At 38.3% G+C, this 19,212-nt stretch overlaps 1 protein-coding gene across 4 annotated transcripts in view; it reads right to left on the bottom strand.

Moving 5' to 3' along the window:
* MLLT10 (MLLT10 histone lysine methyltransferase DOT1L cofactor) overlaps nt 1-19,212 on the bottom strand; it is a 209,875-nt gene that overhangs the window by 121,172 nt on the left and 69,491 nt on the right. For all 4 annotated transcript variants that reach the window (NR_136736.2, NM_001324297.2, NM_004641.4 and 1 more), the window contains 3 exons: nt 10,008-10,111; nt 7,535-7,628; nt 5,252-5,347 (listed from right to left, as the gene is read on the bottom strand). Coding sequence is in view for 2 of the 4 variants with exons in the window: in NM_004641.4 (NP_004632.1) it covers nt 5,252-5,347; nt 7,535-7,628; nt 10,008-10,111 (294 nt within the window). In the remaining 2 variants the exon portion in view is untranslated. The remainder of the gene's footprint in view (nt 1-5,251; nt 5,348-7,534; nt 7,629-10,007; nt 10,112-19,212) is intronic.

Below are 19,212 nucleotides of genomic sequence, written 5' to 3'. Positions count from 1 at the left end.
GGGTGGTGGCTAACGCCTGTAATCCCAGCACTTTGGGAGGCCAAGGCAGAATTGCTTCTACGCAGGTGTTAGAGACCAGCCTAGGCAACATAGGGAGACCTCGTCTCTACAAATTTAAAAAAAAAAAAAAAAAAATTGGCCGGCATAGTGGCATACGCTGGTAGTCCCAGCTACTCAGGAGGCTGAGGGAGGAGGATCCCTTGAGCCACGGAGATCAAGGCTGCAGTGAGCTATGGTGGTGCCACTGCACCCCAGCCTGCGTAACAGAGCGATACTTCATCTCAAAAAAAAAAAAAAAAAAAAAAGGAAAAACAAAAGAAACAAGAAAAAACAAACTATCCCTTATTCGAAGCCATATTTCACCATTAACTTTTCTTCTCTCCTTGCTCGCACTACAGTTAGTACCTAACCAGTGCTAATACAGCTTGAATCACACAGAGCTTCTCTGAAAAGCAAAGGCTATATATTTTTAAATTTTTCCTAAAACCATATGAAGTTGTAAATTAAGTTATTTCATTTTTAAATAATTTGGATACCACAGTATTTAATATTAAATATAAAATAACAATATCACTTATTTATACTTCGATAAATAGTATTTTTAAATACACAAAGAGAAACAGATGCCAGGATCAATGCGGTGGACCAGGCCTGAGTCACGACAGAAGAGGGACCCACATTCATGGGAAATGAAACTGGTCTTCTCTTTCACCCCACGGGCCCCTCGTCTCTCCTTTACGCCCATGGGCAGTGCATGGGAGGCAGGGGTGTGGAATCCCAGTAGACCTCCCTGCCCCTGCCATCTCCCTCGTGGCGCCAGTGGGATTGGGGGCGGGGGCGGGGTGGGGGGGGCGGAGGTCGGTTCAACACAACAGGCACACCTCGCTCACCTACTTTTAAAAAATTAAATTCTTGGCTGGGCGCGGTAGCTCACGCCTGTAATCCCAGCACTTTGGGAGGCCGAGAGGGGCGGATCATGAGGTCAGGAGATCCAGACCATCCTGGCTAACACGGTGAAACCCCGTCTCTACTAAAAATACAAAAAAATTAGCCGGGCGTGTTGGCGGGCGCCTATAATCCTAGCTACTCGGGAGGCTGAGGCAGGAAAATGGCGTGAACCTGGAAGGCGGAGCTTGCAGTAAGCCCAGATCGCGCCACTGCACTCCAGCCTAGGCAACAGAGCGAGACTCCGTCTCAAAAAAAAAAAAGGGGAGCGGGGGGCGGATCACGAGGTCAGGAGATCGAGACCATCCTGGCTAACACAGTGAAACCCCATCTCTACTAAAAAAAAAAAAAAAATACAAAAAATTAGCCGGGCGTGGTGGCGGGCGCCTGCAGTCCCAACTACTCGGAAGGCTGAGACAGGAGAATGGCGTGAACCCGGAGGCGGAGCTTGCAGTAAACCGAGATTGCGCCACTGCACTCCAGCCTAGGCAACAGAGCAAGACTCCGTCTCAGGAAAAAAAAAAAATTCTTGGCAGGGTATGGTGGCTCACGCCTGAAATCCCAGCACTTTAGGAGGCCAAGGCGGGTGGATCACCTGAGGTCAGGAGTTCGAGACCAGCCTGGCCAAAGCTAGTCCCTACTAAAAATACAGAAAATTAGCCAGGCGTGGTGGCAGGTGCCTGTAATCCCAGCTATTCGGGAGGGTGAGGCAGAAGAATCGCTTGAACCTGGGAGACGGAGGTTGCAGGGAGCCAAGATCGAGCCACTGCACTCCAGCCTGGGCGACAACAGCAAGACTCCGCCTCAGTAAACAAACGAACAAACAATTTTAAAATTGTAAATTTAAAAAAAAAGAAAAATATGTGCCAGAATGAAGGCAGATAAAAGAATTCAGAAAGAAAGTGGTTCAATGTATATCTTATGAACAGTATCACCAAAATTTAGCTCATAATATACAATACAGATGCTCCTCACCTTACAATAACCCCATCATAAGCTGAAAATATCCTGTTAAAAATGTGCTTTCAACTTACAATATTTTCAACTTACGAAAAGTTTATCCTGACATAACTCCATGGTAAATCTAGAAGCACAATAAATGCATAGTTTTCATACCAGTGTACAGTCTAAAAATCGTAATTCAAACCATTTCAAATTGGGAACTGTCTGTTTTAAAAATACTAATGTCTGACTTGATTATGAGCGTTACCTTTCAATGCAACACTAAAAACATGCTAGGCATATTTTCAAGACAACTCTACTGAACATAAAAATTTTAAAAGAGGGGCCAGGCATGATGGCTCACGCCTGTAATCCCAGCACTTTGGGAGGCCGAGGCAGGTGGATCACGAGGTCAGGAGTTCGAGACCAGCCTGACCAACATGGTGAAACCCCGTCTCTACTAAAAATACAAAAATTAGCTGGGCGTGGTGGTGTGCACCTGTAATCCCAGCTACTCAAGAGGCTGAGGCAGGAGAATCGCTTGAACCCGGGAGGCAGAGGTTGCAGTGAGCTGAGACTGCGCCACTGCACTCCAGCCTGGGCGACACTCCAGCCTAAGCGACAAAAAAAAAAAAAAGAAAAGAAAAAGAAAAAAAAACTTAAAAGAGGTAAGGAGGGAAGGAGAAAAAGATAGTCTATAACACTCAATCTTTTAACTATAGTATCACTTATAATCATCCCATATTTTTAAAGTCCTTTCCCAAATATTCCCAAGCCAAGCAAGCATGTCTAATAATAAACTTACAGTATGTTTCCTTCATTTAGTGTGCTTACTTTGTAGATGACCAGTAAATCTCAGTTATTAAAAACAAAATGTAAAAACAGATTCAAGCTTGACAGCAAAAACTCAAGTTATATTAAACTTATATATGCGAAAAGTAAAATCCAAATAGTATTTACATACTTCTAAATATTAAAGCTAAACAAGTTTGACTAAACGTGTTTTTTAATCTAGCATCCACTCAACCACCACAAAAAATTCTTAAAATACAAAATTTCATTCATTCCCAGAGCAATAAAAGATCTATACGTGTAGTCATCAGCACTATATTCATTCAACACCATAACATATTTAATAACTGTCCTTCAAATAACATGATAGGGCATATCTTAAAATAAATACGATCATATAGTAAGCGCTTTTTATACAAGATAATATGCATGAAATGGCAGAACAGAAGACCATTAATAGTGAGGCTTCCCTCTTCACAATTTATAATGAGCCCTGCCTAAGAATCCTTAGTTGATGACTTAAAAAGCTTAAATAAACTTTCATGGTGCTTATTACTAAAACTGCTAATTAAACTAACTCTGCTATTTTTTATCAGCAATCTAATCAACAATAAACAAGACAGGCTCCTACTACCGTCACTTTATAACAAAACCACCTCAAAAAGAAATCAAGATATACATGTTTACTTGCTGCCTGAGATCTAAAAAAAGTGTGTGTGTGTGTGTGTGTGTGTGTGTGTGTGTGTGTGTATGTCACCAGGCACGGTGGCTCACGCCTGTAATCACAGCACTTTGGGAGGCCGAATCGCATGAGACCAGGAGTTGGAGACCAGCCTGGACAACATAGTGAAACCCTGTCTCTACTAAAAATACAAATAAATTAGACAGGCATGGTGGCATGTGCCTGTAATCCTAGCTACTAGGTAGGCTGAGGCACGACAATCACTTGAACCCGGGAAGCAGAGGTTGCAATAACACGAGATCACGCCACTGCACTCTAGCCTGGGCGACAGAGTTACTAGGGAGGCTGAGACACGAGAATCGTTTGAACCCAGCAGGCAGAGGTTGCGGTAGACTGAGATCACACCACTGCACTCCAGCCTGGGCAACAGAGTGGGACTCTGTCTCTAAATAAATAAATAAATGCCAAACAACAGCCCTAAGTTATAATTATTTCACTCATGATAGAGAATTTACTCTCAAAACTACTTAAGTTTCTACAATGTTTACCTTGAAAAAGCACTAACTCAAACCAAAAATTTTTTTTTTCTTTTGAGACAAGAGTATCGCTCCGTCGCCCAGGCTGGAGTGCAGTGGCATGATCTCGGCTCACTGCAATCTCTGCCTCCTGGGTTCAAGCGTGATTCTCCTGCCTTAACCTCCTGAGTAGCTGGGATTACAAACAACCACCACCAGGCCCGAATAATTTTTTTTTTTCGTATTTTTAGTAGAGACACAGTTTCACCATGTTGGCCAGGCTGGTCTCAAACTCCTCCACCTCCCTCAGCCTCCCAAAGTGCTGGGCTTACAAGCTTGAGCCACCACGCCCAGCCCAAAATGTTTTTAAACAATTATTTGTTGGCATTTACCAAATCATATTTACAAATGTGAAAATGATAAGAGATCTAAATTTTAAATACAGTCTGCAGAAACATTTCCAAAACTAGCATATACCAACTTTGTAAGAAAAATATTCTTTTCCATTTGACAATGTCCTTTTTATCTTCACTTCCTTAAACACAATTCATAATAGATTCATTTTTAAGAGACAGGGGTCTCACTCTGTCTCCCAAGCTGGTGTGCACTGGCACAATCCCAGCACACTACAGCCTCCACTCAAACGATCCTCTCGCCTCAGCCTCCTGGGTAGTTGGGACTACAGGCGCCCACCACCATGCTCAGCTAATGGCAATATGTTCTTAAAGAACATATTAAAGAACAAATTAAGTACAAATGATTTTCCAGTATTATTTTTTAGTTTATTAAAAAGTATTTCCTATAAAGCAAGTAAAAATGTAAGCGGGAAAAACAGGCAAGTCAGAAAAAGACAGATTAGTATTTAGGCAAGCTTTTAGTGTTTTAATTAAAAGACAAAATATTCTCAAACAAAAGACATGACATGTAGCCACTAGAAAAAATTAATAAACCAGTAGCACCACTGAAAAAGAAAAAATAGCCAAGAATATATAGAACTTCAAAATTGTTCTATTATAAAGGAAAAAAGCTGATAATTACTTACAGGCGAAGAAATCAGTTAATAATATATAGCAACGAACTATTATTGCTGAAGTCACCTAAAGATTTCGCAAGATGACCACAGTAACACATGCAAGAAATTTCCCTCATGCTTTCAGTAAAGTTGTAATCTAAATGTTCAGTTGCAATGGGTAAAACCATATTCACAAATATGGCATTAAACCTATCATTTCATTAAATACTCTTTATTAGCCAAAATGTTTCTATATTTCAATGTCTCCATTTAACTATCAAGAATGTAATTTTATCTAAAAAGGCAAAAAAAAATTCTATTAAGTAGATGTGCTACAAATTTAGCAACAACAAATCCACTTACTTTTTTCTCTTTCTCATGATGTTTATCCTGAGAGTGAGAGGAAGAATCACTTAAACTTTGATCATATGACCTATTAGATCCCCGTTTGCTCTTTTTCTAAAAAAGAAAATATATATACATATATGTATATGTATATAAAACTTTTTAAACAAATCTTTTTGTTAGGCTTAAACCAATTCAACTATAAAGTATTTTTAATGTCTACTGAAATTTTTAAGTCTATTTCAATCTATATAATCCAGTTTAGACACCATTCATATATCATCCATTGCATTATAAAAGAAAATCTAAACATTAATGCCATATTTTTGTAAATTAATTAAAATGTGTGAAAACAGATCATCTATTTTCAAATAAGCTACTATATATTTTCAACATCAGCTTAAAAATAAAAAGTTTCAATACAAAGAGAAAATGCCGTATTAAAAAAGGGTGCCAAGACTAGAAGAATAGAAAGGTAAATATTTGAAGTGTTACTTTATGCCACTAGGAAAAGCAAAAAGACTTTTAATCTTATACCATCAGTATTAAGGTATACAGTTTTCTAAAAATTTATCTCTGCAGTTCAATAAATAATTCCTGCACATTTTATTTGATAGAGCAAATAAAGAAAAAAATTAAAAAATTAAAGGAAATGTCAGTATTAGACTCATGCACTTTTCAAAGCATTACTAAAAAGCATCACACATTTCTGTTTAAAACACTTGTACCATTGCATAATTAAGTATGAAGGTGAGAGTTATTTGAGGTGTTTAAAAGTTGGTACCACATCGAATTGGTGTAAACTAGATAAAAATGACTATAAAGAAGTTCAAATTCCATGCAAATGTAAAGATTATACAATCTTATTAAATTATTAAACAGATATTTTTCCCAACTATCAAATGGGATAACATCATGTCTATAATTAGCAATAAGAAAATTCTATTTGCACAAACTTCAAAATCCATTTTTTTATTTATATCATCTCTCATTTAGAAAATGAGTATTTCAATATGCTTATTACACCTAGGAAGAAAAATTTTCAATTTTATAATCTCAAAATTTTTGTTAAGTCATTAAAATAAAGCATTCAGCATCAAAGGATACACAGATACACACTCTTAAGTAATTCGTATACAAGAACCAAAATATTAGAGGCCTAAACTGCTCATTTCATAAAACAGGGGCCCCTTGTAGTATTTATTTTCAAAAGAAATAGCCCCATTCACAAGGGAAATATAATAATTTAAAAATTAGAAACCAAAAGAAAAATAAAGAAGCCTTAAACCTTCAGTGTATTAATATCTACCATTAAAAAGAATGAGAAGTAGATACTCGGGACTTCAGGCATACTGACCCTTCAAAGGAACATGGATACAAATATGTAACACCCAATCAAATGTTACTAACTCAATCACCATGATCCTGTGTGACAGCAAATAGTGACCAAATCTAAAGAATTCCCAAAGTTGTATTTAAATATATTTTTCTGAAGGTTTTTAAGCAAGTTACAAAACAGCCTTACTTCAGTTTTACTATTTCCCAGTAAATAAAAATGAAAATAAATAAATGGGTAATAGTAATTAAGCAGAAAATGAGAAACAAAGTGATAATCACAAAATGTAAAATTGGCACCAAAAATCCAATTAACTAAAGACCTTAAAAATATAAAGTTTCCTACAGATTAATTTTTTCACTAAATGTATACCAACATTCACTATCAATATTTATATATTTTCTTTTTTTTTTTCTTTTTTTTTTTTTTTTTGAGACGGAGTCTCACTCTTGTTTCCCAGGCTGGAGTGTAATGGCAGGATCTCGGCTCACTGCAACCTCCACCTCCTGGGTTCAAGCAATTCTCCTGCCTCAGCGTCCCAAGCAGCTGGGATTACAGGCATGCACCAGCACACCCCGCTAATTTTGTATTTTTAATAGAGACGAGGTTTCCCCATGCTGGTCAGGCTGGTCTCCAATTCCCAACCTCAGGTGATCCACCCGCCTCGGCCTCCCAAAGTGCTGGGATTACAGGTGTGAGCCACAACACCCGGCCTAATATTAATATATATTCTAAATGAGAGTACTTTAGAATATTCACCTTTACAAATACACCGAAGCAAGCAAAATCTTTTAAAATTACTATTAACAGATCTATTTACTTCCAATAAAGAACATGCTAAACACAATCTCCAGCCAAAAACTCAAGGAAAAAGGAACTGTTATATGCTTTTTTTAATAAAACAGTGTCATTCTATTGTCAAAACTAATCATAATCATTTCATTAAATCCAAGAGAAATTCTTACCAGCTTACTAAAATGGTATTTACAGTAGCCACAGTATTGGACATTATCGGCACCATTACCTTCTTCTTCACAAAGCAGTCCGGCAAACTGAGCGCTGAAAATAAAAGCCAAGTATATTTATTGATATACTAAAATCACAGTACCTGTATATATAAGCAAATAAAATTTACTTCCAATCATTCATGCTCTGAGAAAATAACATCTCCTAAGAAAAAAATGAGAAAATAAAAAGCTTTATTCTAGCTGTGACCAAGTGTATTTCACCCCAACCTGCAACTGATCTTTTTTTAAAGTTATGTTTATGGCTTAAAACAAACTCTTCACACATCTCATATTAGGATGAAGATGTACACATGTTTTATGTCTCCAAATAGATATTAAGTTTAAGATACATTCTCTTCCCCCTCAATCCCACCCCATCAGTTAACACTTCATTTTACTTTTTCAATCTGTCACAGGTACAAATGGAAAGGCCATGCCTCTAAAGGGCCGAAGTGATGGTATTTAGCCCATGGATGCAGATTACATAACCTTACAAGGAAAACATGCATTCACTCAAGACTAAATTTGCAACTCTAAGTGCTTTAAGTCACAGCACAATAAGCGAGATAAACATAAATTGTGCTTTTCAGTAAAAAGCAATGGAAGAAATGAAAATGAAACCTAATGTTACAATATTCTTTTTTTTTTTTTTTTTTTGAAAAAAAAAAACAGGGTTTCGTTCTGTCACCCAGGCTGGAGTGCAGTGGTGCAATGAAAGCTCACTGCAGCCTTAACCTCCTGGGCTCAGGCAATCCTCCCACCTCAGCCTCCCAAATAGCTGGGACTACAGGAGTACACCATCACACCTGGCTAATTTTGTTTTTATTTTTAGTAGAGATGAGGTGTCTTGCTATGTTGCCCAGACTGCTCTTTAACTCAAGCGATCCTCCCACCTTGGCCTCCTAAAGTGCTGGGATTACAGGCATAGCCACTGCACCCAGCTAATATTCGTTTTGTTTGTTTTTTGTTTTTTTTTTTAGATGGAGCCTCATTCTGTCACCCAGGCCAGAGTACAGTGGCATGATCTCAGCTCACTGCAACCTCGGCCTTCTGGGGCTCAAGCAATGCTCCCATCTCAGCCTCCCGAGTAGCTGGGATTACAGGCATGCTTCACCATGCCCGGCTAATTTCTTCATATTTGTAGTAGAGATGGGGTTTTACCACCTTGCCCAGGGTGGCTCTGAACTCCTGAGCTCAGGCAATCTGCCCACCTCTGTCTCTCAAAGTGCTGGGGATTACAGGCGTAAGCCACAGTGCCTAGCATATTCATTTTTAAAAACACAAAACGCTGAAGTTTCTAATCACCATCTTTTCAATTTGACCTTTCACACTTTTAACATTCCAAAATTATATTAGTATACAGATCTCATACCCCAAAAACTACTTTCATCTTTGAGAAATTTGGTACAGTCATTACGAGAATTTATAAAAGTCAAAAACCGTTTTCCATTTCACAATAGTAGTATAAAACAGATTTCATATAACTACACACTAAAAACTCAGGAAATGAGCATGTACTTACACTGGCAGTGAAGCATAGACTGATTCTTAAAATTAGTGCACAGATTATTCCCAAACTTTTTATTTGGAACTGTTACCTATTATGTAAAATATATTGTTGTAAATAATTTTTGCCCTTGAAATTTTGTTGCTGAAAGAATATCTTTTTTTTTTTTTTTTTTTTTTTTTTGAGACAGAGTCTTGGTTTGTCGCCAGGCTGGAGTTCAATGGCGCAATCTCGGTTCACTGCAAACTCCACCTCCCAGGTTTAAGCGATTCTCTTGCCTCAGCTTTCCAAGTAGCTAGGATTGCAGGCATGTGCCACCACACCTGGCTAATTTTTGTGTTTTTAGTAGAGACACGGTTTTGCCATGTTGGCCAGGCTGGTCTGGACCTCCTGACCTCAGGTGATCCACCCACCTCGGCCTCCCAAAGTGCTGGGATTACAGGTGTGGGCCACTGCACCCGGCATGAAAGAGTATCTTAAATAAGTTTTTGTGAAGTCGCCATTGTAATATTGAGAATGACAGTGGTTACACTACTTCTCACTTGAGACACAGAAGGTAAGGAAGTACTATCATTCACCGAATCCTTGTATTCAGACACTGCACTAAGCTTACCTAGATTAGCTCATTTAATCATAATAACAAATCGAAGGATAGGTAATCAATACCAAAATTTTAAACAAGACGAAACTGAAGCTTACAGAGAATAAAACATCAGAACCAGAGTCCACTTATTGCAAAATCACTCTGGTAAATACATTCAGTTATTAAAATTATCTTTATTACAAATAAGTAAATGTGAACATAGAAACTATACCAATAAAGTTTACCATAATTAATGTTTGAGTATCTAAGTCTTTAACTTATGATTGTTACACAAGGTATTTACCAAGTTCAGTTCTGTGCAACAATGGAAACATCCTTACCATGTTACATGGAAAGCCTGTCGACATCCATGTTTATTACATGTCATGCAAGCACCAGTGGCTGCTTTGCTTTCTCTTCCTTGTTCATCACAAATGTAGCAAGTCTTGGGGTTAAAAAAAAAAAAGACAAAAATCATACATGTTCTTAACATGAATCAGAATTTTACAATTATCTTCAGAAATGAAGATCAGGTATACTAAGTAACCTATCTTAACTCAAAATATGAATTCATTTTGGACAATAATCTAATTTTTGCATACAATACAAACAGAAAAATATAAACAAAGACATACAAATAGTCCTATTAAAAAAATTCACAAAGGCATTATCTTCATCAGTCTCACAAACTTTGCAAGACAGGAAGACTCTTCCCAGGCACTGAGGCTGGCGGGCCAGGACACAATCTACCACACCTCTTCTTCCCAACACCTTGTCATCAAGACTGATTCCTGTAACAAGGGTGTAAAAACAATGTTTATCTTTCCCCTCTGCAGGAAATAATCATATCTAAGAGGGTTTGAAACAGGGTATTGGGACCTAAGAGACAAATAACAGCCCTACACGAATTAGCAACGTTTAGGTCATTCATTTCCACTGTCTGTGAGGAATCCTATACGGGTAGGCTGTCATTCAGCCCCACCAAGCTGACATATGTGGGCTACAGAAGAAGATACTTTAGCTAAGTAGGTCAGAAATGCCCAAGAGATACAAAGCCAATGAACACCCCGAGAAACTTTGACTGACATCTTCCATTTTCCATGTGCAAGTAACTAATACGCAATATTAACTTTTCACAGCTCAAAATCATGGCTGGTCATGTGACAGAAGACTGAACTGCAAAAACAACAATCTGTAAGTATCGGTGTATAATGAATAAAATCAGCAGACTCCAAGTTGAGGATACAAAAAGTTATGTCTAACTACATATAATCAGGTGATACATGTTGAAAAAGAAACTAATTTCTAAATAGTAATAAAGCATAACCTAGCCCAACTTCAACACAACCAAATGGTTTCATTCACTTTGCACTGTGGTGCCAAATAACACCATGCAACAATATTTACAAGGACACAGAAAAAAAAAAAAACTAATTATCTAACTAGGTACATGATTTCAACTCCTCTATTGAAAACCTAGGATTCTCTGGGCGTGGTGGCTCACACCTGTAATCCCAGCACTTTGGGAGGCCGAGATGGGTGGATCACCTGAGGTCAGGAGTTCGAGACCAGCCTGGCCAACATGGTGAAACCCTGTCTGTACTAAAATTACAAAAAAAAAAAAAAAAAATAGCCGGGCATGGTGGCAGATGCCTGTAATCCCAGCTACTCAGGAGGCTGAGGCAGGAGAGTCGCTTGAACCAGGGAGGTGGAAGTTACAGTGAGCCAAGATCATGCCATTGCACTCCAGGCTGGGCAACAAGAGAGAAACTCCATCTCAAAAAAAGGAAAAAAAAAAAAAAAAAAAAGAGAAAAAAGAAAGAAAAACTAGGATTCAGACTCAACTGAATTACAAACATCATTTTATACCTCTAAAAAGTAAAATCCCAAATAACAACAAAACCTATCTAGACACACTGAATAAAAGTATTCCTAAGTACTAGTTACAATGGAAGAATTTAGCATGCATTTTTGCCTACAAATGATCAAAAAAATTTAAAAATAGAGCACATTGAAACAGTAACACTCTATATGGCAAAATTTGGGGAAAATATGCAAAAGAGGCCTCAAATACCTCAGTAACTTCCAAAGAGCTGACAGTGAATAGAAATCATTACTTAACCATCCCATAAAACTTAAAAATATGATAATTTTTATTTATAAAAAAAAAAAAAGAAGGGGGGTGAAACATCCAGAATGGGAGATCTCCTCCCCAGAGAAGTAACCATTTCACAGGTGAAAAACAGTCAAGTAGTCTCTGGAATTGTCCTACCGACATACAGAAAAAAATTTACCCAAGTAAATCTACTAAATCTCAATAATGACACTAAGAGTCTATAGCATTTAAGTCACAACTTGCTCCCAGCATCCCCACCCCAACAGCTCCCTATGACAGATGGTCCACTCTGGATGGTGTGGCCAAGAAGATGAGGGCTCCCTCCAACTCAGCTTCTAGTCTAGGACTATAGTTTTACCCTATGACGGCCAGGCTGCCAGTGTCTCTGATTCAACTCAGACCTGGTAGCTCCCATTCACAGATCCCCATCCTCACAAAAAGCCAAGAATGCTAGGGTCCTATCATCCCTGCCCCAGCTTTTAGTAGAGTGGAAAGTTCCATATTAATTATGAGAAACAAACTGGAAAAACAAGAAGCTATCATACCCTTCCCTTCTCTCAATACCCTCTTATAGAGCAAGAGTGTCTCTTCAGAAGAAGGCTACTCGTCCCATCCCCAGTTCCAGAGCAGTAGGGCAGAGGGTGTACACTTAAGGGGACTGTAAGAACCAAAGAATTCAGCAGCTCTGCCTGAGGACAGACTTTGTTTTTTAACAGGCTTAGAGTTCATGCTTAAGGTTTTTGTCAAAAATAATGGAGAATTCACAATCTGTGTATGTGCGTGTGTGTGTGTGTGAGAGAGAAAACATCACACTGTACTCTGCAAACATACACAATTATGATTTGTCAAACAAAAACAAGTAAGAAAAAAAAGAAAACTAATAAAGAGTACCTGAATTCTATTTTCCAGTGTACTCACTACAATTTAAGTAAAGTCAGAGGGAAAAAACAAAACAATGGACACTTGTTAGCAATTAGGACAAGAACGATAGTTACAAGGAGAAACAAGTACAACAACTGAACAGCCAGAAGATTAACAGAGTGAACTAGAGAAAGACAGCAAGAAGGGCCCTCCTGGGATCACACTTATCCCTGGGGTTCTAGAATGTTGTGCACATGAACTAGGCTGCACCCAATGGGGAGAAATTGTATCAGGATTTGTGACGAACCTAAAAGCATTCCCTAAGCCAAATACAAATGCATCAATCAATAAAGCTCAGGGGGCTACAGTACAACCTCTGATCAAAAACTGGCTGAAAAGTTAGTTACTCTGACCCGGGGCAATTCCTCAAAAGTCAAACTTCAAAGTAAAATCACATTCATACCTAACGGTCAAAAGACTGTGCATAAGCTCAATTGTACACCCTCTAAGAAATGATTGGAAAATAACCTCTGATATCCTTGGAAAATAGTGTCTAAACAACAAACACCTCCAAAAGGAAAGAGTGAAAATGTAACTGGCTAAGAGGTTAAGGACAATAAGTGGTTTATGTGGCCCCAAGGTGTGGCAATCCTAGGAGGTCAAGCTAAAAAAAATGGGGAACTGGTGGAGGGAAGGTGGGTCCTACATTTGTTAGAGCAGGGCCATCTGAGGTTGTATACTATTGGAAAAATAGACTTCAGAAAATCAGTCTGGCAAAGTGATTAAACAAATAAATGACCAAACAAACAACAGTAAGACACACAGGGAGAAGAAAGAATCATTATCCAGAGGGGCTATATTACCTAAAATAGGTATTCAACAAAAAAATTAAAAAATAAAGAACACACACAGGAAAAAGGAGCAGTAAGAAAAACTGTCTTTGAGAGTACCCAGATGTTGGACTTAGGAGACAAAGACCTCAAACAAATGGAAAATCTGGAGTTTGAATTTTATTTAAAAGACTCAAAAGCTGATTTAATTGGGAGAAGAAAAAAATTAGCAAACTTAAGAAGAGATCAATAGAGATTACATAACCTAACGGACGGTTTTTTCCTTAGATTATACAACCTAAAGAACAGCCTGAAAAAAATGTGGGACACCATTAAATTTACATATGTATCAATAACCAGAAGAAGAGAAAGGGAGATAGAAACTACATTTGAAAATCTAGTGCTGAAAACTTCCAAAATTTGATTTTAAAAAAATTATACATACAAAAATCTCAACAAACTCAAAATAAGATGAAAACAAAGAGATTCACATTAAAAATAATGAAAGTGGCTAGGAGTGGTAACTCACATCTGTAATCCCAACACTTTGAGAGGCTGAAGCAGGAGGACTGCTTGAGCCCAGGAGTTCAACACCAGCCTGGAAAACATAGCAAAACCTCACCTCTACTTTAAAAAAAAAAGAAAAAAATTATCCAGGCGTGATGGTGCAAGCCTGTAGTCCCAGCTACTCAGGAAGCTGAGGTGAGAGGATGGCTTGAGCCCAGGAGATCAATAACTGCACTGAGCCTTTATCGTGCCACTGCACTCCAGCATGGGCAACTGAGCAAGACCCTGTCTCAAAAAAAAAAAAGCCAAAAATAAAGAGAAAACACTTAAAACAGAACAAGAAAAATGACCTGCCACATGTAAGATAAATACAATAAAATTAACACCTGAGATCCAATCAGGAACTATGGAGGCCGGAAGGCAATGGAATAACATATTCAAAATACCAAAAAAAAAGAAGAAAAAAAAAAACACCTGTAAATCAAGAATCCTATAACTAGCAAAACTGTCTGTCAAAAATAAAGGCAAAATATAAACATTTTAAAATAAAAATTTAGAGATTTTCTTGCTCCAGATGTGACAAAAAAGAAATACTAAAGGAAATTATTTTAGCTAAAATCAAGTGACACCAAACAGCAATTGCAATCTACATGAAAAACAAACAGCTCTGATAAGGACCATGTAGGAAGTAAGACAGTGTGATTAGGTATTTCTTCTTCATTCTTCTCTTATCTATTTAATTTAAATAGCTGAATTAAACAATGTCTACAAATTGTATTGCCAAGACTGTAACATATACAAATGTGACAATAATACAATGAAACAGGATTAGGACAAAGCTATAATGAAGAATTAACACCTAGCCAGGGGTGGCTCACGCCTGTAATCCCAGCATTTTGGGAGGACAAGGTGGGCGGATCACCTGGGGTCAGGAGTTCCGAGACCAGCCTGACTAACATGGAGAAACCGTGTATCTACTAAAAATACAAAATTAGCTGAGCGTGGTGACGCATGCCTGTAATCCCAGCTACTCAGGAGGCTGAAGTGTGAGAATTGCTTGAACCCAGGAGGTGGAGGTTGTGGTGAGACGAGATCGTGCCATTCCACTCCAGCCTGGGCAACAAGAGCAAAACTCCATCTCAAAAAAAAAAAAAAAAAAAGCATAGAGTACATAAAACAATAAGTTTAACAACATATTGTTGAGTTTTTAACATTTATAATGTTTATTATAATAATAGCAAAATGTGGAAGAGGGCAATGGAGCTTTACAGGAGAAAACTGTTCTCTGCAAGTCTTTATCTTTTTGCTGGTAAAAAGTCCTGCCTCAGTGTTGATGGCTTCTGACTCACTGAGGTGGTGGTTGTGGCACTTTCACTACCTTTCAAGTAGAGACAAGGTCTTGCTATATTGCCCTGGGTGGTCTCAAACTCCTGGCTTCAAGCAATCCTACTGTCTCCAAAAGGGCTGGGATTAAAGGTGTGAACTACCACACCCAGCCATTTATAACAATAAAGTTGGCTATATCAATTGACTCTTCCTTTCATAAAACATTGCTCTGTAGTATGTGCTGCTGTTTGACAGCATTTTACCTACAGTAAAACTTTCTTCAAAATTGGGGCCTATTCTCTCAAACCTTGCTGCCACTTTATCAACTAAGCATAGGGCATATTCTACATCCTTTGTTGTCATTTCAACAATGTTTACACCATCTTCAGAGGAAATAGATTCTATCTCAAGAAAGCACTTTCTTTGTTCATCTATGAGAAGATATACATTCAAGTTTGACCATGAGATTGCAGCAATTCAGTCACATCTTCAGGCTCCACTTCTAATTTTAGCTCTCTTGCTATTGGCCACCACATCTGCAACCTCCATCAAAGTCTTGAATCTCTCAGTCATCCATGCAGGACAGAATCAACTTCTTTCAAACTCCGGTTCATGTTGATATTTTGACCTCCTCCCACAAAACACAAATGTTCTTAATGGTACCCAGAATGGTGAATTCTCTCCAGAAAGTTTTCAATGTACTTTGCCCAGATCCATCAGAGGAATCATCCTCTGTATAGCAGCCATAGCCTTTCGAAAGGTGTTTCTTAAATCAGACTTCTATGTCAAATTGACTCCTGGATCCACAGACTGCAGGATGGATGTTGTTAGCAGGTATGAAAAGAACATTTTCTTGTACATCTTCAACAGAGCTCTTAGGTGACTATGTACCTTGTCAAAGGGTTACTAATTGGCCTACATTCAATATTGTTGTGTCTTAGGGAACAAGGAGGCCTAAGGAGAGTAGAGAGAGATGAGGGAACAGCCAGCTGGTACAGCAGTCAGAACACATACAACATTTATTAACTTCACCTCACAGTAACGTCAAAGGTCACGGATCATACATAACCATAACAGATATAATAATGAAAATGTGTGAAATAATATGAGAATTAACAAAAAGGGACAAAGAGTCACTAAGTGAGCACATGCTGTTGGAAAAATGAAACCGATAGACTTGCTTACTCCAGGGTTGCCGCAAAACTTCAATTCGGTAAAAAAGAAAAAAAACATGCAATTTCCTGTGAAGTACAATAAAAAGAAGCCCAATAAAATGAGATATGCTTAAGAAAAAAAAGATATGCTTATACATCTTACTAAAATTAAGTACAGTCTAGCAAGTTAAGATAAAGATAGTAAGCCCTACAACTACCACTAAGAAAATAACCCAAGAAAAATAGTTTTAAAAATCATAAAGGCCAGGCCAGTGAGCCAAACACCTGTAGTTCCCAGCACTTTGGGAGACTAAAGCAGGAGGATAGCTTGAGCCCAGGAGTTTGACACCAGCCTGGGCAACATACCCAGTCACTATAAACAATAAAAAACTTAGGCATGATGGCATATGGCTGTAGTCCCTGCTGCTTGCGAGGCTGAGCGGGGAGGATCACTTGAACCCGGGAGGTTGATGTTGCAGTGACCGTGACAGTGCCACTGCAATCCAAACAGGGTGACAGAGCAAGACCCTATCTCAAAAAAATATATAAAATAAAATAACAATGAAAAATAAAAGAAATGAAAATGGCATACTAGAAAGTATCTATAGATGGTATCCAACTTAAAATCATTCTACTTACAGTTTTTCAACTTTACCACCATGATGCAAACCTGATACACATCAGTACAATATTCTCTTGTGATGCTGGGCAGCGGCAGCAAGCCACAACTCCCAGTCAGCCACGCCATCATGAGACTAAACAACCAATGCTTGCTTGTCCAGTGAACTGTGTAGACAGATGATTTTTCCCAACTGTAGGCTATGTAAGTGTTCTAAGCATGTTTAAGGTAGACTAGGCTAAGCCAAGATGTTAAATAAATAAGGTATATTTCTTTCTTTTTTTTTTTTTTTTAAAGAGATGGGGTCTCACTATGTTGCCTAGGCTGCAGTGAAGTGGCTGTTCACAGGTGCAATAATCACACTCTAAAGCCTCAAACTCCTGGACTCAAATAATACTCCTGCCTTATCAGAATGTAAGCTCATCATAACTCAAGAAGCATCTGTACTTAAGATTAAAAAGGTAGAAATAAAAAAAACAAAAAATAGGAACTAAGCAGTCATAAGAAAAAAAAAAAATGGGCAGGCTGCCAATCCAGGACCAAGGGGTAAGGCCGTGTCAATGCACCTAGAGAACGGAATATCAAGCCACAGAGAACTATTTTCAAGTCTCAGAACTGAATGGAATTTGTCCTGCAGACTTACAAACCTGCTTTAAACCCCTTTTCTCCTTCCAATTTATCTCTTTTGGAATGGGAATGCTTCTTCACCTGTCCCACCATTGCATCTCAGAAACAGATAACTTGTTTTCTATGTATCACAGCTTTAGAAATAGAAGTTATTATTATTTTTTTTAAACAGTCTCACTCTTGCCACCCAGGCTGGAGTGCAATGGCACAGTCTCGGCTCACTGCAACCTCTGCCTCCCAGCTTCAAGCGACTCTCCTCCTCCGCCACCCGAGTAGCTGGGACTACAGGTGTGTGCCACTACACCTCGCTAATTTTTGCATTTTTAGTAGAGACAGGGTTTCACTGTGTTAGCCAGGCTGGTCTTGAACTCCTGACCTCAGGTCATCTGCCTGCCCAAAGTGCTGAGATTACAGGCCTGAGCCACCAGAGATGCCCAGCAGAGATAGAAATTTTGCTTCAGGATTAACCAAAGTCTTAATCCATCGCCAATTCCAATGATTCAGAAGATGAGATTTGGGACTTTCTGAGTTTATTATATTCAGGTAAGATGTGAGACTTACTTACAGAGTTTACATCAAAATGGATTAACAGTTTTGGGGACTACTGGGATACAGCACACCTATTTTGTATGTGGAAAGAACATAAATTTTGGGGGGTCCAGAAGGCAGACTGCTATGGGTTGAACTGTGGTCCCCAAGAAATGTATGTGAAGTCCTTAACACCCAGTATCTTACACAGTAACCTTATTTGGAAAAAGGATCATTGCAAATGTAATTAGGATGAGGTCACATGATGGAGTAGGGCAGGACCCTAATCCAATATGACTGGTCTCCTAATAAGAAGATAGCCATATGGAGACAGAGACAAAGGAAGAATGGAATGTGAAGATAGCAGCAGAGATTAGGGTGATTAAAAAAAAAAAAACAAAAAAACAAAAACTGTCAACCACTGACATCCATCACTAGAAGCTAGGAAGCATGGAACAGATTTCCCTTAAGAGTTCTCAAAAGGATCCACCCAGCTGATATCTTGATTTCAGACTTGTAGCCTCTTTAATTGTAAGAAGAAATTTCTGCTGCTTCAAGTCACCCAGTTTGTGATATTTTGTTACAGCAGCCCTACTACAGGGGGTGTATGAAAAATTGGCTATGAGCTGGTCATGTGTTAGAATTGGGTGATGAATCTACACAGGTTGTTTGTTATATTATTGCTTACTGTTTTATATATTTGACAATTTCAGAAATTCTTAATAAACGAATGTTATAATAAGTAGATTAAGTATTAAAGCTTTAAAAGCAGAAGCAGACAAATTAGGAAACATTTGAATAAAATTGGAAATAAGCCCCAAAGCTCTTCTTTATATCAGGCATAAAAGAAATTGATCAAGGCCAGCACAGTGGCTCACATCTGTAATCCCAGCACTTTCAGAGGCTAAGGTGGGCAAATCACCTGATATCAGGAATTTGAGACCAGCCTGGCCAACATGGTGAAACCCCGCCTCTACT

This window comes from Homo sapiens, chromosome 10 (assembly GCF_000001405.40).
Source record: "Homo sapiens chromosome 10, GRCh38.p14 Primary Assembly".
Classification (NCBI taxonomy): Eukaryota; Metazoa; Chordata; class Mammalia; order Primates; family Hominidae; genus Homo; species Homo sapiens.
The sequence above is the reverse complement of the archived record's forward strand: the minus strand, read 5'-3'. Positions and strand labels throughout refer to the sequence as shown.